The 27,897-nt window shown below is 34.2% G+C and overlaps 1 protein-coding gene and 1 long non-coding RNA gene across 4 annotated transcripts in view; both read right to left on the bottom strand.

The window, feature by feature from the left end:
* Nucleotides 1-24,206, bottom strand: LOC124902655 (uncharacterized). The gene is made up of 2 exons (XR_007062636.1): nucleotides 23,258-24,206; nucleotides 1-6,286 (listed from the first exon to the last, which is right to left on the bottom strand). It is a non-coding gene; the product is annotated as an uncharacterized LOC124902655 (long non-coding RNA).
* Nucleotides 24,207-24,404: 198 nt separating this feature from the next.
* KIF18A (kinesin family member 18A) overlaps nucleotides 24,405-27,897 on the bottom strand; it is an 87,538-nt gene continuing 84,045 nt past the window's right edge. For all 3 annotated transcript variants that reach the window (NM_031217.4, XM_017018379.2, XM_017018380.2), the window contains 2 exons: nucleotides 27,527-27,636; nucleotides 24,405-25,068 (listed from right to left, as the gene is read on the bottom strand). In NM_031217.4, coding sequence (NP_112494.3) covers nucleotides 24,986-25,068; nucleotides 27,527-27,636 — 193 coding nt within the window. In that variant the 3' untranslated portion in view covers nucleotides 24,405-24,985. The remainder of the gene's footprint in view (nucleotides 25,069-27,526; nucleotides 27,637-27,897) is intronic.

A 27,897-nucleotide genomic window follows, 5' to 3' on the forward strand; every position in this document is an offset into this window, starting at 1 on the left:
TTTAATGCGATATTTGCTTTATTGCAGTGGTCTGGAACCGAACCCAAAATATCTTGGACATATGCCTGTAATAGAATAACATAACATACAGTAAACAGTGGCAGCTGGTTATAAACTGAAGAGTTAAAAAAAGATATAAAAAGAAATTTAGAAACATGGCTTGGAAGATTCCTATCAAATGGCAAAGTTTTAATGTAGAGCATTGTTTCTCAATCAGGGACTATATTGTTTCCTGGAAAAATTTGATAATGTCTGATAATACCTTTGGTTTTTACAACTGGAGTGGAGATTGCTACTGACATATAGTGAGTAGAGGCCTGGAATGCTGCTAAACGTCCTACAGTGCATAGGACAGCCCTCCATAGCAAAGAACAGTGGGGCCCAAAATGTTAATAGTGTCAAGGTCGTGAAACTCTGATGTAAAGTACACATGTCCTTCATCTCAGACCAAACCATATTACTTAGTTCTATATCAATGACTTGTACAAAATATAATAATAATATTGGGAGTCTTCAGTACAATTATGTAAAAGAATAGAACACTTATTACATAATAATGTAATTAAGAGAAATGGATGGTGAAGTGAGGAAAAAAATGAAAGGATGTGCACATTCTAAGTCACCTGGGAATCTTGCTAACATACAGATTTGATTCAGGAGATCTGGAATGAAGTCTGAGATTTTTGGATATCTCACAAGCTTTCAGGTTTTTTTCCTTCCTTAAAACTTTTGTTATTTTACTTTTAGTCTTGGTGTTTTGAGATTTTACCAGGGAAGACTCCACAACACCAACTTATTGATCACTTATTTTATGTTTTCTATTATTATTTTATTTGAAAATAATAATCATTAAACATGTGCCACTGGAGCTCCCTTTGTCAATTTTAAATTACTAGCAAGCAAGAAATAACACTTAAATAAGTCTACTTTGCTTCCTTATGATTGTTTTCCTTTCCCTTTAAAGAAAAGTGAGAGCTTTTTGATTGCTTTGTATTTTAATTTTATGTTTATCTCTCCTCTAGTCAGAATACCTTTAAGGCCAGAGTTTTACTCATATGGTTGTGTTGATATAAGACATTCATTCATTTATTAATTTTATAACATTTAGTGCTCACATAATAGGTGCCATATTCTATTAAGGGCTGGAAACCTAATGGTAAATAAGTCATGCAGTCTGGTTGCAGGACTTTTGGGAAAGCATTTGCTTTCATGAGAAAATAAAAGATATAGCACTTCCTTTTTCTTCCTGCCTTAGACAAAGGAAATGACCATAAAGACCTAGAGAACTGCAGAGAAAATATCCCTGAGCATCCCTGAACTGTTGCGCAAACGTTAGCAATTGCCTATCTCTAGATTTCTAGTTATGTGAGCATGTCTTCACTTCTTAAGCTATTATATTTGAGTATGCTTTTCCTTGCAGCTGAAGGCATTTCTGACCAATACAAGAAATGCAAACATTAGGGAACTGGGTCATTCCCAATGACATTATCAAGCCCTTGTAAGAAAGTGTCAAAAGACAAAATTACAACAAATTTAATTTAAATACTTCTATTGGCTTTATTTGTGATTCTAGAATTGGATAACATTTCAGTTCATAAAATAGAATAAGTGTTCCAACGGGCTGAGCAGAGGAGTTTAGCATTATAGACAGAGAAGGGCTGAAGTAAGCAGAAACAAAGAACAAAGAGTATATTAGTTACTTTTAGACAGAAGAATAGAAAAATAACTCATTAAATAACATCAGGTTACTTTACACTACCTTTTTTGTGAATAAGGATTAAAGCAGAGGAAACTTCATTATTATGCTGATTAAAGATTTTAAACTGGTCTGTTTGGGAAATTGTTATTTCTCTCTTCTAATTACTAAGTCACATATCAAGTTAGTTCAGGTTTGGTGAAATGGTACTTCAGCATAGCTGAGTCCATTTTTATTTTTAATCTGGTTTTTTGGGGCCTAGTACAGGAGCCGAGTCCAAAACAATGACCTCCTGTAATTTTTATATAACAAATCATTGATAGTACTTCATGGCAGATTTTATGTTAGGTATAAGTGTTAAATTGGGGGCAAGATATGTAATTTTTATTGCTTTCAAGAATAAAACTATAAACAACGGACCAAAGTCTCAGTGAGCCAGATTTGGATTTAATAGAAATCAGAACTCTCTAACAATGATAATATTTCAGTAATGGAGTGTGTTACCTTCCAAAGACATTAGTTTCCTATCCATTAAAATTTTCAGAAAGAGGTAGGAATACCATAGAAGAGATTCCAGCACTGCACGGAAGGTTAAGTGGGATGGAAAGAAACTCATAGTGTTTCTTTAACTGTAAGGTTCTAATATCAATTTTCAACAATTAGGGTCTGTGATACTGTGATAAGAAATATATATTTGGTGTCTGTACCTATTTTTGTCACAGAGCTCCTAAAGCCCTTGGAATTTCCTAAGTGATAACAGAAGGGTGAATGGAGCATCATTTGTTATTCATAACAAGCTATTTTCAACCACACCTGGGTTATGTTAGTGAGGTAATTCTGGAAAGCCCCTAGATAATCATAGGATGAAGGCTGGTTGCCAAGAGACCCAACCATGTAATTGAAGGGAAGGTAGAGAGCCTAGAGATTGACTTAAGCACCAATGGCCAATGATTTAATTAATCATGCCTACATAATGAAGCTTCCATAAAAACTCAAGAGAAAGAAGTTTGGAGAGCTTCCATGTTGGTGAACAGGTTGGTTGTGCTGGGAGAGTGGTATACCTGAAGAGTACCTCGGAGCTCCACTTGCCTTCCCCATACCTCCTCTTGTTTGGGTGTTTCTGAGTTGTATTCTTTAAGACAAACACATTGTGAAACTTATCAGATTCAAAATGGATTCATGTTTATTAAAAAAAAAATCTGAAAATTAGAGCCAGGGAAGGCTATGAAAAGAGGGTTCGTATACATAAATGCCTGATGATAAAAACTATCACAAATGATTGCAAAAACCACAACCTTGCATAAAGGCCATCACAACCTTACACAAAAACTACTTCTGCAAGGACATGTTTCTTGCAACTGGCTGTCTAACTTCAGACTGGTATTACTCTTTTTATTGATCTTTAGAGCCAAGGATAATTATCTTAATTACCTCAAAACCACTGTGTAATCTTGCTCATTTTTTCTTTAAAATCCGTTGTCTTTTTTACCTCCCTGAATATGCACATGGTTTACTATGGCACATGTATTCTCATCACAATGCCGTATTCCCAAATAAATATCATTTTCTTTTAGAGAGCCCCTCTCTGGTTTTTTAGGTTGACGTAAATGGTGTCAGAAGTGGGATCTGAAGAAAGACTATTATCAAAAGGAATTGTTAATATTTGGAACTGGTATGCAGTACTCTTCTGAGCCCTTTCAGCTCCCTGCTTCCACAACTCACCTATTCTGCCATTGTGAGTCTTCTGTCAGGCCAAGCTTCCCTCTTTTTGTTAGAAGTGCCTGACTTTTTTTTTTTGTTGTTGTTATTGTTGTTATAAGCCAACTGAAATGAAGAACCTTGCATTCTTTCTGGGATAATAAAATACTTTTTATCTTTCTTGGCAAGTCCTTTAGGGTATAAGGACAAGCGTTATTCTGGTTTGAGCACTCTGGATTCACAAAATTTACATTCTATCTTTGAGGAGTGTCTTTCCTAGTGAATTTACTTTTAGTTCTTTCTGTGTGCCTAATTTAGTATTTTGCTTTTATTTTGGGTTGGTTATGTGTATCTGTAAATAATTTGGTTTTTTCCCTTACTTATTTCAAAATTTCTGAAAGCAAAAATAAATATTTTAAATGATGGGTTCAGGATGGCTAATTAAAAGTCACTGCCACAGCCACTACCATCTAAAACACTGGTCCAAAAGGATTTATAAAATTAGCTTTGCTTTCAAGAGATTAATGAGAAATAGAATGGAATTCTCAAACATTAAGGCATGCCAAGGGTTTGTGGGACTCTAGCTGACTACGTATTATGGCCTGTTCTCATGCACATTTTTAAACTGATGGGCAAATTACATTAAGAAAGACTCAAGGCTTGATTGATCATTATTCAGACTCTCTAAAAATCCCCTGTAATTACAGAATTAATGTGTAGAGCCTTCCTAGCTCTCTCTATCCCTCTATTTCATTTCTCTGCCTAATTTTCTAACTTTTCTACTGGTGTTGAAATAAAACTCTCTGCTTATGGCTTTTCAGTCAAGACTTTTAAACAGTCTTAAAGGGCTTTCAAATTAATGTCTTACAAATTAAAACAGCTCTATTATAAACAACAATCTAGACACCTTTTTAAAATGTAAATTTAAGTAAACCTGTTAGTCAGGTTTGCCTAACAATTGCTTAGGATGACAGAACAGCTAATTGAAGGATTGATACTATAAAAGAAAATAACTAGATAAGTGCTTATAGAAGTTAAGATCACAGATGATCAAACAGGTCAAAACCTTGAGCTCACAGCAATAATATAAGTTATCTCTATCTATCATAAAAATTGCTTTGTCTGCCACACAGGAGCCCAAAAGAAAACCAACCAAACAAAAAAACGACCCTGCTAAAATACTTCTCCATCTGCACTGATTAGTCAATCAAATCCAACTAGCCAACAAAAAATAGATTTGTTACTAAAAGTTACGGCTCTTTAGAGATTTTATTTTCCTTATACAATTCAGCCAGTTCTAGCTAAAATGTAAAGATTGAAAACTGAATCTTCCACTCATTTGAAACTGAAAAAAAAAGGTCTTTCAAAACCAAACCACAATGGAAACTGCTTTACCCAATTTTGGTCCATATCCTTCATTAGATTACCTATTGGGGTAAATAAAGGTTAGCCATGTGATATGGTTTTGCTGTGTCCCCACCCAAATCTCATCTTGAATTGTAGCTCCCACAATTCCCACATGTGGGAGGGACCTGGTGGGAGATAATTGAATCTTGGGAGTGGGTCTTTACTGTGAGTGCTGTTCTCGTGATAGTGAATAACTCTCACAAGATTTGATGGTTTTATAAGGGGGAATTTCCCTACACAAGCTCTCCCTTTGCCTGCCGCCATCCATGTAAGACATGACTTGCTCCTCCTTGCCTTCTGCCATGATTGTGAGGTCTCCCTGGCCATTGGAACTGTAAGTCCATTAAACTTCTCTTTTTCTTCCCAGTCTTGGGTATGTCCTTATCAGCAATGTGAAAATAGACTAATGCAGTCAATTGGTACCTAGGGTATGGTGCTGCTATAGATACCCGAAAATGTGGAAGCAACTTTGGAGCTGGGTAACACGCAGGGGTTGGAACAGTTTGGAGGGCTCAGAAGAAGATAAGAAAATGTGGGAAAGTTTGGAACTTCCTAGAGACTTGTTGAATGGTTTTGACCAAAATGCTAATAATAAGGACAATGAAATCCAGGCTGAGGTGGCCTCAAATGGAGATGAGGAACTTGTTGGGAACTGGAGTAAAGGTGACTCTTGCTATGTTTAGCAAAGAGACTGGTGGGATTTTGCCCCAGCCCTAGAGATTTGTGGAACTTTGAACTGGAGGGAGATGATTTAGGGTATCTGGTGGAAGAAATTTCTAAGCAGCAAGACATTCAAAATGTGACTTGGGTGCTGTTAAAAGCATGCAGTTTTAAAAGGGAAACAGCATAAAATTTCAGAAAATTTGCAACCTGACAATGAGACAGAAAAGAAAAACCCATCTTCTGAGGAGAAATTCAACCCGGCTGCAGAAATCTGCATAAATAACAAAGAGTCAAGTGTTAATCACCAAGACAATGGGGAAAATGTCTCCAGGGCATGTCGGAGAAATTTGCAACAGCCCCTCCCATCATAGTCCCAGAGGCCTAAAAGAAAAAAATGGTTTCGCGGGCCAGGCCCAGTACCCCTCTGCTCTGTGCAGCCTAGGGACTGGGTGCCCTGCATCCCAGCTGCTCCAGCCATGGCTAAAAGGGGCCAAGAAACAGCTTGGATTGTTGCTTCAGAGGGTGCATGCCCCAAGCCTGGGTAGCTTCCACGTGGTATTGAGCCTGTGGGTGCATGGAAGTCAAGAATTCAGTTTGGGAACCTCCACCTAGATTTCAGAGGATATATGGAAAAGCCTGGATGCCCAGGCAGAAGTTCTCTGCAGGGGTGGGGCCCTCATGGAGAACCTCTGCTAGGGCAGTACAAAAGGGAATTGTGGAGTTGGAGCCCCCACACAGAGTCCTTACCGGGAGCTGTGAGAAGAGGGCCACTGTCCCCAAGACCCCAGAATGGTAGATCCACCGACAGCTTGCACTGTTCACCTGGAAAAGCAACAGACATTCAATGCCAGCTCATGAAAGCAGCCAGGTGGGGAGGCTGTACCCTGAAAAGCCACAAGGGCAGAGCCGCCTGAGACCATTGGAACCAACTGCTTGCATCAGTGTGACCTGGATGTGAGACATGCAGTCAAAGGAGATCACTTTGGAGCTTTAAGATTTGACTATCCTGCTTCATTTTGGACTTGCATGGGGCCTGCAGCCCCTTTCTTGGGCCAATTTCTCCATTTGGAATGGCTGTATTTACCCAATGCCTATACCCCATTGTATCTAGGAAGCAACTAACTTGCTTTTAATTTTATAGGCTCATAGGCAGAAGGAACTTGCCTTGTCTCAGATGAGACATTGTACTGTGGACTTTTGAGTTAATGCTTAAATGAGTTAAGACTTTGGGGGACTGTTGGGAAGGCGTGATTGGTTTTGAAATATAAGGACATGAGATTTGGGAGGTGCCGGGGTGGAATGATATGGTTTGGCTGTGTCCCCACCCAAATCTCATCTTGAATTGTAGCTCTCATAATTCCCACATGTTGTGGGAAGGACCTGGTGTAAGGTAATTGAATCTTGGGGGTGTGTCCTTTCCATGCTGTTCTCATGATAGTGAATAAGTCTCATGAGATCTGATGGTTATATAGGGGGAGTTTTCCTGCACAAGCTCTCCTTTTGCCTGCCACCATCCATGTAAGACATGACTTGCTCCTCCTTGCCTTCCTTTTCAGCCAAGTGGAACTGAGAGTCCATTAAACCTCTTTTTCTTCCCAGTCTTGTGTATGTCTTTATCAGCAGCTTGAAAATTGAATGTTAACAGAAATATAATTTGTATCTAAATGTCTTTTACAAACAGGTGAGTTAGTATGTTTTACTGTGTCAAGACTAATATTCTAAATAAAAGCAATACTATTTTTGGGTGTGTACATGTGTTTAGGTATATTTATGCACATGTACATGTATTAAGCTGTATGTCATGACTGCATGGTGAAAACTGTTATAGTCAACCAGAAATCCCTTAAGAAATTCTATTCAGATTGGCTTACATGCATTAGTGCTTATATAAACTATACAGTCATCAACCCAAATGGCTTTTTGTTCACATGACTTGAGTAAATCTTTAAAAAGCTGGTTTTTATATTGTTGGTAAAATAAAAATAAATGTCTTCAAAATAGCATACATTTTTGCCTGGGTTTACTCATCAGACAATTATATATTTGTCTCTTTTTAGGTGTCAAGGTTTGATACAAAGGTTATAAAACTATAAATTTAGTCTAACACTAAATGATCTTTGATTGTATAATTATTTGATGACTAAGGCTAATGTAATATTGTTGGTTTTTAACAAGAACAGGTATATCTTCTGAGTTACCAGAAAATATCCATATATTTTTTACTTAGGTGAACACCTGATATTCACAGGGTATAAAAATGGTTAAGAGGAAAATAACTTGAAATGTTGACTTTGTCTAATATCTTAGGTTTCATAAGTAATCTAGTTATAATACTTAAAAATAAAGTAGGTAAATGTAAATGCAGTAAATATTTATAAATAAACTTTTCATGTAGTTTAAAATCTTAAATTATGTTATGTTTTATTAAGTGATAGATTAAATATCTGGGTAATTTCCAAATAAGATAAAAACTAAAATATATTACTGATAATAACATGTTTGTTCTTTACTTCTTAAAATTTTATAAAAAAACTAAATATATCATATTATTTGGTGTATTTATACATATAACAATTATGTTATGAGGAAACAGATTTCTAAAACGTGTAAAATGGTTTTCATCTATCAGATACTGATATGTGACAGTTCAAAATTGCTTGCTAAAAATTAAGGTTACTGAGAGTTATAACTAATTATTATATATATAATTCTGTATATAAAGAGCACCAAAAATGAGATATTTTTACTGACAGAAAAATTATAAGAAAGGCATAAAAATGTAGTCTTCATTGAGAAAAAATAATTTCATCTAATTCAGAGGTTATCTAAAGGTTGTTTAAAAATATAGATTTATGAAGGAAATAAATAAAGGTTGAAAGGAAAAAATAGGAGAAAAATATGTGAAGAAAGTTATAGGCATGAAAATGTATTTTTGGTAAGGAAGGTTAAAAAAAGAAATAATTTTGAATGAGAAAGAATCTTGTGTGATAAATTTTTGTCCTTAAGTAAATGACTGATTATTTAAGAAAGAGGAAGACAGGACAAACAGAGTCTAAACATGTTGTCAAAGGTTTGAGCAAGTCATAATAAGGTTCATGAAGGATACTGTGGATAAAATGGATTTTGTGTGGGACCAAGTTGACTATAATTAGCACTCGTAACCTTGGACACACTCTTCCTGTGTCTGATTAAATTCAAGTATCTTTTTCATCAGTTTTGACTTCTGGTTTATCTAAATAGGCTTCCCAAAAGAAGGAGCAATCACATAAAAGTTTTTTTTTTCTTTTTAACTTTTCTTGGTAACTGGACTAAAAAATAACTTACGTTTTATCAGGATAATTTCCTGAGTTATATCTATTAGGTTTTTGATTACTTAGAAATAGTGAACTTTGAAAGGCTCAAGGTTTCTACATCCATGTACCTTTCTGTACTGCTTTTGAAGTCTTTCAATTATTATTCTGGTTAAATTAATGACTATTATTTCATAGTGACATGTACTCTCACTTTAGTCAAACATTTTGAATGTTTTGATGTCTTTGACAGCCTTCCCCAGGATAAACATTCTAAATTAAGTATTTTTGACCAAGGATTAACTTTGAGATTATCCACTTGGGCTCCTGTAGAGCATCAAATAATATATCTCTCATCTTGTAGACATATTAAATTATTAGGCTTATTTGGTAAATTGTATGGGAAGCATTGTCAAATGGTAAGTGATGCTGAATCTTTTTTCAGTTACATTTATGGGTATGTCCTAAAATTATATAAAACTTTCAGTAATCAACTATGTCATCAGTCTTATTCTGGATATGATGTTTTATGCCACAAAAAAATAATTTTTTTGGTCAATTACTGATTATAATGAATTTACATCAGATTTTCAACCATGGCTATCCTAAATTTTTGTCATCTATAGTTATTGCTTTAAATTCTTCTCTAAAGGCATTCACAATCAAATTCCCGGAAGAGACTCTGAAAAGTATTCTAAAATACAGTTTTCTACTAACTTTAAGATCAGTGGACTAAATTAAGTTTTTTCAAAACTCTAATGAAGAAACTGATGGGTTCATAAAACTTCTAATCATGCTCAAGCAGAATAAAAAATAATTACATGAGAGTGAATAACTGATAATGTTTTATGTCATTTAATTGAAACATTATTGGTCTTTACTTAAACACTTTGTTTCTCATATTATGAAAAGTATACTTTTTAAAATAAAGATAGAAACATTTGATTTATATGCCTACTTGATTACTCTAAAATTTGAAAACTACTCCTGTGTATTCCTAGGTCAATATGGTTATTTGTATGTCTAATAATAATCTGCTCTCTCTTTATGGTAGGATACAACTGGTTATATTACCAAGGCTTTGCATAAAATATTATATTTGAGTATGTGTATAGAATACCTGGCTTCAAGGGTTCCCAGCCTTACAGTGAGTAAAAAAAAATTGTCACTTCTGTGTAGGCTCAGGAACTTTAAGAATGTAGCTAAAATTTAAAATCTGCCTTAGTTTGGCTTCCTAACCTCAAAAAGTTTTAAAATCTGAGATTCCTATGTGATCTATATATAGAGAAAAAGTTATGTTTTTAAAGAAAAGCTATAATACACCTGTTATTAGACTGCAACTCTATATATTGTTTTCAAGTGTTTTTATCTGCATATAAACGAGACTAGATCCTTAATCCTTCTATATTCCTCCAATAACACTTTTTTCATGAAGTTACTCAAAATGGAAACTGCTCTGTTCGTAAAGCCCTGCAAGCTAATACTAGATGAATTTTAAGGAACAAGTGTTGTGTCTGATGTATGGGCCACATAAAAAGTTCACCAAACTGTCTGATGTCATACCATAGATATTTAAACTACAAGTCAGGATGAGAAATTGATGTTTTCATGCTGTAGACAACTTTTTCCAAGACACTAAAACAAGACTATATATTGTAATAAAACTCTTACCCTTCTCAATGTCTACCTTTTCTACTTGGCAGGGTAACAGGCGTTTGATTTGTTCAATTGGTTGCCTTTAAGCAGAGGTTTTTGGCTCAAAAACATTATGCAAACTGAGATTGACATATTACTGTTAATTTTACTTTGTATTTTCCCTTTTTAGACTTTATATTTGTTACTAGTTAAATTTCTGCAGAAGTACAACCCTTAACAAAATAATGCTGGGCCAGCACTTTGAAATTGATAGCAAAAGACAATGAAACAGATAAAATTGAACTTATTAATGGACTCTAGGTAGACTTAGCCTCAGGACTACTCCCTTCAAAACTTTCATATTGCTCAAATGTGGCTAAAAGGGTTTTGAAACTAAATCCAAGCTATCAATCACTCCCTCCGATGTGGGACTAGACTAACAAACTGCGATAGGTCCATCCTGGCCCCAGGGGACAATAAAAACCTAACTACAGATGATTGATCAGTGATGCTTTTGAAGAACGATACTGATCAAAAGACGGAAATGTGAACATTGTCAGATCAAAATGGAATCACTTGTGTTAAAAAAAAAATCCTGACAAATAGAGCCAGGAAGGTTATAAAGTAAGGGTTTTTATGCATAAATGCTTGATAACCAAACTATCACCAAATACTGCCAAAACTGCAAACTTGCACAAAGGCCATCAAAATCTATTTTTTAATACTTCAGTGAGGACATTTGCCCAACAACTGCATATCTAATTTCTGACTAGCATCACCCTTCTTATTGCTCCTTGTAGTCAAGGATAATTATCTCAAAACAATCATACAATTCTCTTCAATTGTTTTTAAACTTTGTCTTCATCTACCTCCTTGAATATATACATAGTTTATTATAGCACACATACTCCCATTGCAATGCTGTTTCTGAATGTGTATAATTTTCCTTTAGAGATCTTTTGTTAGTTATTTAGATTGAAGATGTAAACATAATTAAAGTGTTTCTCTGAGTCCTATAAGTCTTGATAGCAAAGTACCAAACCCAAAGAGGGGTCTTGGGAACCTCAATTTGTAGCCACGTTGGACAGATGTATGGGTAACCTGGGGACCTTTACTTGCAATTGGTATATGAAGTGGGAAGTAGTCTTGTGGGACTAAGCCCTTAACCCGTGGGATGTGCACTAACCTCAGGTAGTCAATGTGATAACTGAATTGCAGGATACTCAGTTGGTGCCCAGAGAGTTGGAGAATTGGTTAGTAAGAGCAAAACATCCACACATATGGTGTCAGAGTGAAGTTTTGAGAATGTAGTGAAGTGTTGAGTATTTAGAATAGAGATAAACAAGGAGTTCTCCTTGGAGAGGAGAAAATAGAGTTTCCTTTAAAGGGCCAAAATCAAAAAGGCTTTAAATAAAAAAACTTCTTTAAAACTGTTAAATCCCAATTAAAATGACCAGAACACCCAATTCCTCTATTCTAATTGAGATTATTCAGGCCAATTAGAGCTAATAGTAATTCCATGCAATTCTCATTCATAAAAATATTAATAAAACCTTTAATTTACATATAAAGTATGATTATTTTTTCTTTCTTTTATGGGCTTACTACAAAACCTAAACTTTTAAATATATTGACAGGGTAAATTTACACAGGACTAATAAAAGCTGTCTACTGGATGTGTTACGTGAGTTTTAATTTAGCAAAGGAAAGAAATTCTTTACTTTTAGCTAAAAATACTATCTAAACAATTACAGTTATAACTCCAGGTGATTATTTCATAATGTTGACATTACATTAAAGTCCAATATGTTAAGATGTGATTTTTAAAAATTTTGACAAAAGTTATAATTTAAAACAAAACAAAACAACTCAATGTTTAGGCCTACAATGACAGCCTTGCCAAGAATGGTAGAAACGCATATCCCTCTACCCACACGAAGGGGAAATAGCATATACCTCTCAAATTATATGACTCACTCCCTACCTGAGAGATATAGAACATATGACCTAGGCCAATCTGGAGGAGTTAGAACATATTTTAAAAGATAATTATAAGAAATAAGTCACTTTTAAAATTACTGTGGAAACAAGATAAATTCACCATGCTATTTGTACAGCATTCGAGTTGTTTTCCCCTAGATTAAGCAATTTGCTTCTCTCTGGCAAATGCCATGTGAACCATATTAGGGTCTCCCATTGCATTTCTTGAACACAGGCAAATATAGGACCAGGTACTGTGTTAGGTGCTGGCGTATAAGGGTAAACAAATGCAACGTGATCCTGGATTTCATAGACCCTATTAGTCTTGTTGCCATGAACATCACACAACAAAAATGCAATGGAATATGACATTGCTTGTTTATTCTTTATAAGGGAAATACTTTCTTTATGGTTTTTCACATCCTAAGTAGAGATAGGTTCACTCTCAAGAAATGCAAGCTTACCTATAAATAAGTCAATGGTTTCTGCCCAACATTTATGGTTATATAAACCTATTGGACTATTGGTTCTGATTTTAGTTAAGTAAAATAAACATAGATGACATTTCCAAACTCTTTGTATGTGAGTTAATTTTATAATACAAAATATAAGTTTTCAAAGTCTGTGATTGTCTCATGAATATTTACAATGGGTGTTTTCCTACTCAGCTTTTTGTTTTCTTCTAAGGTACAGGTAGTTTCATCTTTGCATCAATGATTTCATTTGAAATTTTTACCATTATGAATATTTCTTAATGTACAACTGTGGAGAGGCTAATTGACCCTTTCAAAAATAGACATGTTTTCATATAAAAGGTCCATTTTGCTACAGATGGGTAACTAAAGCAGCAACTGGCTTCAGCATTGTAATAGTCTGAAGACTTAATTATTCAGGAACAGGTTTTCTCTCTTTCCCCAACCTAACACTTTTCTTTCTAATGCCACTTACAATTGAAAAATATTTTAAATCCAAGCCACTAACATTGCTGAGTCATGCTAAGTTGTGCAATATTATGTTACATTCCATCTGGCATTAGTTAATATGATAGGATGTAGAATATTTAATTTTCATTTAAATATGTGTTTTAGGTGTAGATATGTTTCAAGATGCTTCCTATAATTCAGAATTTATCTTGCAAATGTCTTTTACAGATAGCCCTTATTATGGCCACTAAGACTAAACATAAATAACATTCATTGTATTAAATGTGCTTTTCCTATCCGAATGTTACAAATTATTGGCATTCAATTGAAGAACTTGTTAAGTATATAAAATTTTGTACCCGCTAGTATCTGGAATATGCCATGAAGCAAGTTCTGTTTACAGACAAAGTCTGTAAGATATCCAAATACCACTGTGATATGTTTACAGTTTATAAAAGAATTAAATATCAAGTCCTTTTGGGTGTGCAAAAAATGAGCATTAAATGAATTGAAGGAAGAAACTAGAAAATTTTAATATCTGGCACATGTGAAATGAATGAATAAATGCATTCATCTCTTCCTCACAGCTTATTTTTGGTTGCTAAGGGACCCTCTAATGGTCATTAAGGTCATGACAGGGGATTAGTTTACTTTTATAAATGGATTTCATCTGGAAATGTCATTTCTTTGCAATCGACTATATCATCTTGGGTCTATGAGCAATGATGCTAAATTACAGACAGATGGAGAATTTTGAAAAGAGTTCCAACTAATTCTGACAGCCATCACTTCCCACCCTCCTTGGTTAAAAATTAACTTCCAATAGTGGGAAAAAGATGATGAAACCTACCCAATATCTACAAAAGATGTTAAATATCATGAATTTTTATCCACAATTTCTTTTTTTTGGGAGGCAGAATGAGTCGATCTGAAGGGAGATATGAAGATTACTAAATAAAATCAAATTTCTTTATATAATATTGCCTGCCAAATTAAACTTATAAGCATGAGGAAGCAGCCTCTACAGAAAAATAATTATTATAGGAGTCAAAACGTATTGTGTTAGTTACCAAGAAGTGCTAAAGTTCACCTGTACAGTTTATTTAGTTCAATTAGTTCTCAAGGCTTGTCCTTTAAATCTTCACATGAAAGGAAAGACAGCAATGGAACATTTCTTCAAGATCATCAAAGTACTTGAAGCATTTAAGGGAGTATGTTTGGCTGGCTGGGTACTACAAAGAGCCAATTAGGATTGTTCACTGCTTTAAAACAGACAAGATAACCAAAAGGGAAGACTCTCTCATTATAGGCTTTGAAAGCAATATTTAGGATCATGGACTTTTAGCCTTTAGCAGTGTAAGCACCAAATTGCTTGAATGATTTATTCTCCAGAGGGCAAGTATAAGGGGGCCTTTATCAAATTAATGGCCAATACATGTATTTAGTGGAGTTAAACACTGATATTTAAAAAGTCCATGTGAAGGATGGCCAAGATACATAGGCTTGTGTTGCTGTAATTACCAATAGATGGCCTATCTTTTCCTACCATGTATATCTCTTTTTGATACCTTCCCTTTCCTCCTGGCTTTGCTGCTCATGTGCCAATGATGGCCAGGCAGGGAAATGCAAGCCTTACTGATACCAATTTTTGGCTTTTTTTTCAATTAAATAAAAAAAAAGCTTATTAGGAAAGGAGGGAAGATTGGTTATAAGGGAAAATTGGTAGATTTTTATAAGATACATGAGTAAAAAACAGTAATGTAAAAAATGTATGTTATAGTAGTGTAAAAATGTAAAAATATGGTAGCATTAATTGCTATAATAAAGATAGTTTGGGCTAGGATGAAAACTTGAGGACAGGTACTTAGTTGAAGGAGTCAGTGGAATTGAATAATGTAGTTATGGATCATCTGTGCATAGGAAATAATTTAATTGAGAAACTCAGAAAATAATGTTCTAATTTTGAGATATACCTATCTATATCTATATCTATCAAGGAGGAGGGGCAGGCGAGGGAGTGAATATGAACAGATTAGACTTCAAGCCATCATCACCCTGATATATAATATATAAATAATGTGATATATGTATATCACATTTATATATATATATTTACTTTTTGTACTCTATTGTGTATACATATATATTGTAAGTCCTTGTCCTTTACACATTCCATAAACAATGAAATACAAAAAGCCATAAAATAATAAAATTCTTACAAAAGCCATAAAAAATAATGAAATTATGTCTTTTGTAGCAACATGGATAAAACTGTAGGCCATTATCTTAAGTGAAACAACTCAGAAACAGGAAGTCAAATACTGCAAGTTCTTCCTTATAAGTGGGAGCTAAATAACGTGTACACATGGGTATAGAGTGAGAAAGGATAAATAATGAAGACTCAGAGGGTGGAATGGGGGAGAGGAATGAGGGGTGAAAAATTACTTAATGGGCACAGTGTACATTATTTGGGTGATGGTTACGCTAAAAGCCCAGACATTACTATTGCACAATATGTTTATGTAACAAAACTATAGTTGTGCCCCTTAAATTTATACAAATAAAAAAATTTAAATGTGGCATATCTTTGAAAGGTCATATAGTATATATAAGCGTTTTATGTTGGGAGTTTTGGGAAAAACGAATCTCTCACATCTCTTTTCTGGATTCAAAACCAACTGAGAAATAGACATAAATAAGATCTGGGATGGGCGTACTAACAAAATAAAGGGTTTTCTGCTACTTCTTCCCCAAGTTTAGATCTTGGTTCTTATCAAGCCAGCCCCATGAAGAAACATGACCTAACCAATGTGCTTTGAACACAAATGAGCAAAAATGGAAATGCTAAGAGAAGGACAGTGGGGCTCTTGGCTTGTGTACCTACCGTGGCTATTTACTGTATGGAAGTAAAAACTGGGAGAACAAAGGCCACGAGAAGGCAAAAAGAGATTTGAGAAAATGGAGCAAGAGGGTTGGCTACACATGAAATAGAGTAGTAATGCTCTATACTTTAACTCAACCCAATAGAGGAATGTGGAACGATGGATGATGGTATTTTACAATCCCAGATTATACAAATCATTTCTTTTTGGGAAGAGTGAATAAGAAAGTAAAGAAAGAAGATTCTCTATTTCTTCTCAGAGAAAGAGAGGAAATGTTACTTTCTATTTCATGGGTAAATGAAAGAATATATAAAGATGAAGAAAATTTTTATTCCTTACACTGCTTTGTCATTTTTCTGCTTGAATTATTTAAAACTTTTGGTTGCAATGGACAGAAAATAAAAGTGGCTCAAAACACAAGACTTGTACATGAATGTTTATAGCAATTTAATTTGTAATAGCCCCAAAATGGAAACAATCAAAATGTCCTAGAGTAGGTAAATGGTTAAGCAAATTGTGGTACATTCGCACCATAGAATATTGTTAAGCAATAAAATGGAATGAACTACTGATATATGCATCAACTTGGATGAATCTAAAGGACATTAAGGTGATTGAAAAATAAAGCCAATCTCAAAGGGTCATATACTATATTATTCCATTTATATAACATTCTCAAAATGACAACATTATAGAGATGGAGAACAGATTAGTGATTGCCAAAGGCAAGAATGGATAGGAAGGAGAAGTTTGTGGTGATGGAATAATTCTGCGTCTCACTTTTGGTGGTGGTTACATGAATATACACACATAATGAAATGGCATAGAATGATTCACACGTATTGCACTAATGTCAATTTCCTGGATTTGATATTATACTACAGTTACTTAAGAACAATTGGGAAAAACTAGGTAAAGCGTGCACAGGACATCTCTGTACTATTTTTGCAACTTTGTTTGAATCTATAATTATCTTAGCATAGAGTTAAAAATTTGGCTCAAGTGAAAAAGGGAATTACTTGGTTTATGGAATTTGGCAGTGCAGGGGTTGAATCTAGGTAGCCTCACGCAAACCTGGATTCAGGAGCTCACACAATGTCATCTGGAGCTTTTTCTCTTTTTCCTTTTCTAGGTTCTGCTCACTTTTCTGTGTTGACTTAATTCTGTAGACAGCTTTCTCCATGAAGCTGCGGAAGACGCCAGAGATTAAGGCTTACATGATTCTTATACCTTGTAACCTGGGACAAAAAGTCTCTTACAATCTTAGTGGATCAGTCCTCTTGGAACCAATCACTGTTGTCAGGAAGACCTTTGATGATTATTACACTGATGGGCCTTAATGTGCTGGGGAAAAACAGGTGTGTTTACATGTGCGTGAGTGGAGTGTGTGTCTACATGTGTGTGCGCACACAGAGATAGCTCCACTGGGACCTCACTGAGGAAAGGAGTGGTTTCCCAAAGAAGTGAGATGTTTTAATCAAATTCAGGTTAAGTGGACCTGGCAAAATAGCAGATGTCTACTATACCACTCAAATATCAAAGTGTAGATATGAACAAATACTTGATACTTTAACTTGTAAAACATTTAAATATTACTATAACAAATAATGTTTACAGGTTTAAATGTTACTTACTTTTGGAAAGAAAAGGCTAGAAAGACTGAACAAAATTTAGTAATTAACCAAAAGCCTAAAAGAAACATAGTTCCAGGATGAGTGGCAAAATGAATCTCAACATTGCATTGTAAGTGAAGATGTTAACAAAAAATCAGAAATTCACCATACTCTTTAAATTATATAGAAAACTAAGGTTTTATATGTAAAATAATTAGTAGTTGAAACAGGTTAAAGTTTTAGAAAAAAAGTACAGGCTCTCTAACATTGATCTAATAATTAAAAATACCCACGTATGCATTCAAACTTAGAAAATACCTTTATATAGGCCCAAAGCCCACTGTGGTGATTATTAAGCTCAGTGGTAGATGGGGACATTTTACTGAGTTGGGGTCATTTTAGGTAATACTCTGTAGCACAAGATGGTAAAGAGGTTGTTGGTTGCCAGGGATGTACATTGAGTGAGAAGATTCTCTTCAAAGTGTAGGAGCAGAGCTAACTGAAGACTAATAAAATAGTTTGATCTTTCAGACTTAATTTGGGTAGATTAATATTTTTAACTTGATATGAAGAATTCAGGGGAACAGAGCACTTGGGAAAAAACATTTTGAAGTAGCATTTTGTATTGATTAAGAACTGTGGTAGAAGTTAAGAATCTACATTAACAATTGTTATTGGGAAGAACAGGAGGGGTTAAAAATTTTTAAAAAGACTTACAATGATTCTGAAATAACCACACTGAAGGAGATAATGGGAAAGGGATGTGTGCCAAGGGTGTTGATATTAGAAAGGATTTTCAGCATTTCATATTTGAGAAGTGGCTTGCAGAGGGGAAGATTATTCTGCAGGGATGAGAAATAAGGCTGAAGACACAGTATTTGTGTCCAAGGTCCTGATCATAGAACTATTTTCCTCTCATGTCTCTACTCTTCTTAATTATACAGGTACCTTTCACCTTCCATCTAGTTAAAAGTATAAGAATGCATATATATATATTTAAATTATGACTTCTGAAAAAAATTGTCTTATATCTCACTTGGGCACACACATACAGATATTCCTCTACTTTTAATGGGGTTATGTCCTGATAAACCCATCGTAAATTCAAAGTCTCATTAAGTTGAACTGTGTGGCTGACTGGGAGCTACGGCTTGCTGCTGCTGCCCAGCATTGTGAGAGAAACCGTACAACTATTCTGTTTTTCACTTTTAGTACAGTGTTAAATACATTACATGAGATATTCAGTACTTTCTTATAAAATAGCCTTTGTGTCAGATGATTTTGCTCAACTGTAGGCTAATATAAGTATTCTGAGCATATTTAAGGTAGGCTGGGTTAAGCTATGTTTGGTAAGTTAGATACATTAAATGCATTTTTGACTCACAAGATTTTCAGCTTATTATGTGTTTATCAGGACATAACCTGAGGAGCATCTGTATGTACATATAAATGACAGAAATACTTCAGAACTAAACTTCCCCAAAAGGTCTTAACTTGAGGGACTAATCCCCATAGTGGCTGTTATGTAGAATTTGCCATTTGCAAGGATTGAGTGATTTGTCAAGATGATGTTCATTCAGATAAGTATGGACTATCTATCAATTACTACTCTTTGGGGGAAGTCATAGGAGGCGACAAGCTTAGTGCTCTGCATATACATTTCAAAAACAATTGCCCTGTACTAATTCCTGAAACGTATGTTTATATTTTGTCTTAATGTCCCAGTTGTGCCTTTAGACTTTGAATATGGAGTCTTAACACAAAAAAATTGAGGATGTAAACGAGTGATTTTGTAACATATCTTACCTTGAGTGGTTAACAACTTATGAGTAAGTTGTGAATACGCAAAAAGCAATATATGTGTGAAATTTTGATTGTAAAGAAACAACATCCTTGAAAAATCAGTCCATAGGATTTGTGAATGCCTTCAGTGATACTAATGACTTTTCCACATGTACAAATCACAATACTTTATTTTTGTTTAATTTTTTTTTATTTTCTGAGATGGAATCTCGCTCTGTTGCCCAGGCTGGAGTACAGTGGCTCAATCTCCGCTCACTGCAACCTCCGCCTCCTAGGTACAAGCGATTCTCCTGCCTTAGCCTCCCAAGTAGCTGGGATTACAGGTGCCTGCCACCATGCCTGGCTAATTTTTATATTTTTAGTAGAGACGAGGTTTCACCATGTTGGCCAGGCTGGTCTTGAACTCCTGACCTAAAGTGATCCATCTGCTTTGGCCTCCCAAAGTGCTGGGATTACAGGTGTGAGCCATTGTGCCCAGCCCATTTTTGTTTTTAATATAAACAAGGTGAGTTAGATATAATTTGTTTATAATTATAAAATGCACTGAATCAATCCCAAATCTGGATATAATTTACTGAACTTCACCCACAAATTAAAGCTAATTACCAGTCACAAGTGAACAGGTGACTCAAATTTGTTTTGTGTAGGAGAGATGCTTTTTGTATAGCCATCCATATGCAGTGTTAGCCACACTGTAGATAGAGGTATTTTATATCAACTTTAGTTCAAAAATCCCAATTCTGCTACTGTACAGCTGTGGAATTTTTGGCAAATTACTTAATTTTCCAAGCATCTTCTCCTTTTTCAATTAGAAAACTAAATATGTTATCTAGACATCATCATCTGAAATCCTCATGGGTAGTTGTTTTATAATTCAGTATTTTCTTTTTGTTTTAGAAATGCAATACAGTGCATATACTGTATTTATACATAACACCCTCACCCTGGTGGGGTCTGGGCTAATACTCTATAACTGAATGTTAACATTTCTGCAGCAAAGCCTCTGAATGTTTATACTAAGTAGGGTAAATACAATTAATAGACTCATATTAGCAGAAGTCAGGTTTTACAGACAAAAATTATACAAAACCTGATTTTCAAAATCTGTGGAGTTTTGGAATTGAATAAGAAGTTGTAGATCTGTAACATTTACTTTTTTAAAAAATGTACTTAATTGATAAATAAAACTTATACATATTTATCATGTTCAACATGAAATGTAACATCTACTTTAAAAGCTTGTTTGAGGAATAAGTGAAAAATGCATTTAAAACATTTATCATATGATAAGAGCTCAAAAAAGTATGACTATTATTACGTGTTCATTAACAAATGTGGACTGAGGGCCCCTTTACAAATAAAGGGACACTTTATAAGGCTTGTGGTTGGAAGTTGTTCTCAGAGTAAGGTCAGATTATCCTATCTGATTCCAGAATTTGCAACTTCATTAACATCAAAGCTCTTGTTGAGCAGTTACTGTAGATATTTCCAAGTTATTTAAATATGAGTCAAAGCATAATATAAAACAAAATGCAGTTGTTATAAATATGAATCCCTCTTCGGTTTAACAATTATATATACATATGCACGTGTATATATGTATAGTCAGTTCTGCTATATATATATATACAGCATGTATATGTATATAGCATGTTTTCTGTAGTAGATGCTTGTATATGTATACACGTATACATATAAATGTAGTTTTGTATATGTATACATGTACACATATAAATGTACAGTTTTGCTGTATATATGTGTGTGTATAAATATATATACTATATATATATATATATAGTCAGTTCTGCTGTAACTATTTTGAAAGTACAGATTTGCTCCTATGGCATTGGTACATTAGGGAACCATTTGGGCCTAATGTGAGTTTTGTACCTGGATACACAAGCTTTCATCTGGATGAAACATTAGGTGAACAGAAAGCTCCACTCAGTGGTATCAAGCTACATCAGAATATTCAAAATGAATATACCTCATGACAGTGGGCCACAGCCATCCACATCTGGCATTATAAATTCCTGTCTGAATTCAGATCACCCTCCTTCCATCATTTCCTAGTAACTCACAAGCTACAATCCTTCCACATCAACTTCCAAGCAAACTTTCCTTCTCAAGGCAAAGTGCCATATTTGTCATAGTACTCATACATTTCTTAACCAGTTAACGTGTAAAATTAGGCCACTGTTTTTATTAGGTTCCTATCTTTCTTTTAATGTGTCAGTGACTAACCTTTTGAGTGTTGTGCTACTAACCCCATTTTTCCCATAAACCTTGTGGTTTCATTGCACAACTTTGCACAGCATTTTGTGTTTTATGAACACATATGCCATGTTATAGCAGTGCTGTCGTTTATGACACTTGGTGTGTTCTGTGGAACATGCTTAACACATCATAATGTAGAAATAACAGTGACTACTCCAAAGTATTCTCAGAAATGCTGAACAGTGTAGCTCAAAAGAGACCATTATCTACGTTTCTCTCGATATATTTACTATATAAAAATTATCATAGCAGTATTATGAAATTCACACTTAAAAATTTTACAAATATGTCCATGATGGTTTTAAATGTGAATAAAAATGAAAAGTGCAAAACAATATAACAAGTATGATCCTATTTTCATAAAAAAATCCAAGAATATAGGTATATTGAAATATATATAATAAATATATTGTTTTATATATAAATATATATATTTGTTATATATAAATATATATATTATTTGTTTTATATAAATATATAATAAATATATTATTTGTTTTATATAAATATATATAATAAGTATATTATTTGTTTTATATATATATATAAAAAACAAAAGTAAATGTCTAGTCATGGTACCTAAACTATTAGGTTGGTGCAAAAGCAATTGCGGTTTTTGCCATTGAAAGTAATGGCAAAAACCGCAATTACTTTTGCACCAACCTAATATTAACAGTGGTTACACGTGGGAATGATATTAGTAGGCAGTGAGGAGGAAGCACATTTACTTCGTACTGTTCTGTATCATTTTTTAGAACAACACTTTTTTTAAAAATAAAAATTAGTTATTTTAGTTAAAATAGATCTATGATGTTACCAACACAAAGATAAAGGTTTGAGGTGATGGATATGCTAAAATCCTGACTTGATCATTACACATTGTATACATATATCAACATATCACATTGTACCCCATATATGTACAATTATTATGTGCCAATTAAAAGTACATATATTAATTTTTTAAGAAAGAATTAAAAATTAAACTGTGGTGTTAGAAGTTAGGATAGCTGTTACCACTGAGGGAGGTGATGACTGGGAGAAGGTGTAAGAGAGTCTTCCGAGGTACAGATAATTTTCTATTTCATCATTTGAGTGCTGGTTATGTGGGCATGTTCACTTTGAAAATTCACTGTTACATATTCACTTATGAGTGATCTACTTTTTACATAAGGCTCACTTAAAAATGTTTTCACAGTGACTTATCAAATAGCATTCTTGTTTTAGTTTAAATTCACATAGTTAATAGCTGTCTTTTCCCATTCATTATGGTTTATTACCCCAACTTCCCCTTAATATAGTTATATGACAAAAGTCCCTTTTATTAATTTTTATAGAAGTCCAAATCTCTACCTGATAAAAATGGTATATAAGAAAATCGTGCTCATACCTTTTAGTATGAGGAGGACCATGAGGTCTAGTCACTTATTAATCATGGTAGCCACTCGTCACTATCTGGTAAAAAGGTTTCTTTTACCTAAAATTGAAAGGAATAGAGAGGTGAAAGTGATTGTTAAACAGGCAACACAACCAAAAACCAAATGTCGAAGGGACCAAAAAAAAATGTGTTTATGGTGGTTTTCTGTATGACACATCCTGAATATGCTCTATAAATATGGAATCACCAGTGTCAGAGCTGAAAGGGACCTCAAAGATTATTCTCACACTCTCCCAGCCAGATTTTAAGTGGATAAACTTGATTAGCTGAAAGGCTTAAAATATTTCAGCTTGCTTGCTTTGGTGTGAAGGGTCCTGTGCTGCATAAAATTAAAAGTGCATTTGGCCAAATATGTTACATTCAGCAAACAAACAGGACAGGCAAGGCAAGTAAACAGTGTATAATTAAGTTGCAGCTCCATGTACTTCCTATAGCAGCAAGAATGATTGAAACATCTTTTCCCATTATCATTACGAGGCCTGTGGATTATTTTCAGACTTGGCTCTGGCGCCACATATCTTGATCTTACCTGAAATACAAATCTACAAAATTCACATTTTCTATAAAATAATAGTTTAGAACAGGGGTTCCCAACCGTGGTCTGTTAGGAACCAGGCTGCAGAGCAGGAAGCGAGTGGTAGGTGGCCGCTCCCATTGCTGGCATTACCACCTGAGCTCTGCCACGTATCAGATCAGCAGTGGCATTAGATTCTCATAGGAGTGTGACCCCTATTGTGAACTGTGCATGTGAGGGATCTAAGTTGTACACTCCCTATGAGAACGTAATGCCTGATGATCTGTGACTGTCTCCTATTACCCCAAGATGGGACCGTCTAGCTGCAAGAAAACAAGCTCAGGGCTCCCAATGATTCTACATTATGGTGAGTTATATAATTATTTAATTATATATGTAATATATAATGTAATAATAATAGAAATAAAATGCACAATAAATGTAATGTGTTTGAATCATCCTGAAACCACCCCCTACTCTCAGTCTGAGGTTTTGTCTTTCACAAAACCAGTCCCTGGTGCCAAAAAGGTTGGGGACCACTGGTTTAGAGTATGAAAGGGGTAGTAATGAGACAAGAAAATGAAACACTTTAAAATCTACATCTTTAATATATCAAGTAGCAAGGGACAATATTTTATTTGTGATGACTAAATAATATTTACAATGATTTTATGGGCACATATATTTACACTTGTACATTAAAGTATTTTTGAAAAGGAAAGTCATATATATGATTAAAATAATGTATCAAAACATAATAGAGAACCAAATACATCTTGGGCCATAATTTTACCACTTCTAAATTCTTATTTTTAAAAAATAATAAAGATAATTTAACTCACTACCATTTACTAAAATGTCCTAGTCAACTTGTTGTGGCATAGTAAAACTAAGCTGCCACCATGGTAACTTACACTCAGGGATTTTAAAAGGCAACAAATATTTAAAAAACTTAAAAGACAACCTTTTCTTTTGAAATTTTATTTTTTTAGAACACAAAAGAAGAAAACAAAGAGTTTCATTTTTCTGCTTGCTGAAAGTACTTGGGTAAACTTAGCTTTAAGATGGGTCTTCTTTCAAAGATTTTAAATATATTTTTGAAAGGGTATTGATAAACTTTGAAAAGCAGATTTGATCAACTTCATTTTGCTTGGTTTTGAAGTGATTTATCTTAGATTTCCTTTTGAAATATTTCTTCCAAATTTTCTAACCATGCTTGGATTTATTTTACAGATGTTTCTTTTATGTTCTAGAGAAGAAATAAAAAGATGCATAAATATGGCATAAATATCATTCAAAAAGTTTTCATCGTTCAACTTATAAAAATTATGACCATAGAAAGAAAAATTTACTCTTGAAATTCATAGTTGTTAGTTAACATAATTTAAAATATAACAACAACAAAGAGACATTAATACCTTTGGTTTAAAAGCTGTTCAAATTCATATTGCAAACTAAAGTTTCAGTGAGTGCGTGCACATACACAGACATCGGGTGAAGTCGCTGAATTAAATACTATGTTCATTTTCTTTCTTTCTGACTAATAAAAGACCATTTCTACAAGCATTTCTTCATTTTCTTTGTTGTATCACCATTTTTTCTCATTCCTTGGATTATATTTCCCCAGGGATTTAAACTTCCATATTTTTCCAATTTTAAAATTATCATTTGCATCTAGTACTTCCTAAAGGGCTGATCTTAATCCTATAGCTCTTTTTTCTTTTACTGCCACCTCTCAAGTATGTTCTATTTATGCCCATTCTTCTGGTTCTTCATTAGCTTTCACCGTCATTTTCTACTCAACAAAGTGTTGTTACAACAGGGTGCCATTGACTTTTTTCAGGATTAGTTTAATTGCTTATCCACTTTGTTGGCCATATTAGGTTTTAGTTTTAGAGGGACATATTCCCTTAACACTCTCTGTTATTTCTCTAACTGCTAAGTTAACAGGAGTTGCCTTTTTCCCTACTGATGGTCCTATGTTTCTTTATTTGTACATTGTTAGTTAGAAAACTGGTTTAATACATTTTTCACTTGAACATTATAATGTATATAAAATATCTTTCCTTACAAACTAATACCTCTTTGGCAAGCATTGTGGTTTATTATCATCTCCCACTTTTTTTTCCCCATAGTAGATATTTTTACTCACATCTCTTTATACATGAAATATTTGATGAATTTGTATCTTCAGATAATAAGCATATTAGAAAAAGCCAAGTTCTATGATTTGAGTTTTTTTTTTTTTTGAGACGGAGTTTTGCTCAGTCGCCCAGGCTGGAGTGCAGTGGTGCGATCTCGGCTCACTGCAAGCTCCGCCTCCCAGGTTCACGCCATTCTCCTGCCTCAGCTTCCCGAGTAGCTGGGACTACAGCCGCCTGCCACCATGCCCGGCTAATTTTTTAAAATTTTTTTGGTAGAGACGGGGTTTCACCATGTTAGCCAGGATGGTCTCGATCTCCTGACCTCGTGATCCACCCGCCTCAGCCTCCCAAAGTGCTGGGATTACAGGCGTGAGCCACGGCGCCCGGCCAATTTGAGAGTTTTTATAAATTTATTATTTGGCTGTAGAATTATGATTCTTGAAGAACTTTTTAAGAAGATCAGTGGGGCAGTACACACCTAAACTAACTACAGATACACATTTTTAAGCATTATTAAATACAACATGTCAAACCAAATGATCAAGGTAAATTTTGTACTTTACTACCTTACTGTCTGATGTTTCAATTTGCTGTCTGATGCTTCAATTTCCATTGAACTTAAGGTAAACACTGGCTACTACAGGAAGCAGGCATTTACCAATATAGTTTGACAAAGTTACTGAGGAATTTTATATTACTCTAATCAAAGGGCATCGACAGAAAAAAACTAACAATAGCTTTCATGTTATCCTTAGAAAAATTATATCATGAGACACCTTTAAATTGCATTTGCTATAATTATCAGTTCCTATAGAGAACAATCAAACTGTGTCTTACTGCTCTCTGTATTCATCACAGGACATGGTAAATGCCTAGTGAATAAATAGTTTCTGAATGAAGTCTTAGGAACTGTAGTATCAGAGACAGAGGTCTAGATGTTGGGGCCTGAAAACTGGCTGGCATGATACACCACTAGTTTAACTGAAGTGGTTTTGTTACCATAAACTCATGTCACTCCCATATGCGGTTGATGGAATGTAGTATCTTTCATACTGATGGGAAAGATCCATCAGTATCTTTTCCAACTTGCCAATGGGAGTTACAATATGATTGTAACTAGATACAGACTGGAATCTGTGTAGTAGTTACACATTGAGTTAGAGGCCAAATTATTCAAAATATTACGCTAAGAGAAAAATTTAAAGTGGGTATAGTTTATCTGCAAAATACACTTAATTAGTAACATTAAGTAATACATTTAGCCAATTATTTCAATTATTATGAGACAGTAGGGATAACTAAAAGGGTGTAGAAAGTAGAGTTTTAAGATCTGGTTCTTGAGTTTTGGCTCTACCAATATAATATCTGTGTGATCTTGGGTAAATGCTTTTGTGTTTTAAAGTTTCCTTATCTATAATATGTGGATAATCATACTTGTTCTACCACATAGTAAAGGTGATGAATAAAGGGAGATTCTTATGAAAACACAATAAAAAACGTAAAGTACTATATGTGTGTTACAGAGTCATACCATTAAATATCAAATTAAAAGCTGAGACATACCCATTGTTGGTTTGTTTTCTTGTAAGTGCTTCTCACTTGAATTATCTTGTCGAACACGTTTGGCAAATCCAGAATTTACGTCTGCAGTTAACGAACTGTTTGATGTAGAACTTGAGAGGAAAAGTTTTTAATTTAGTTAAGCATTTTTTTTATACCTCAAAGTTCTAATACATATTGTACATGCGACAATGATTAAAGAAATAAAACACAAAAATATTAAGTTGTGAAATCTCACAGAAGTGGAGGTACTAAATACATTTTTGGCCCACAGAGAAATTTAGCTGTGTGTGATTTTAAATTGGATATTTTATATTTTTATTCAAATTGAATGTTATGATTGTAGGTGTATGTTACAATTCTGTAGCAGAATA

Source organism: Homo sapiens, chromosome 11, assembly GCF_000001405.40.
Source record: "Homo sapiens chromosome 11, GRCh38.p14 Primary Assembly".
Taxonomy (NCBI): Eukaryota; Metazoa; Chordata; class Mammalia; order Primates; family Hominidae; genus Homo; species Homo sapiens.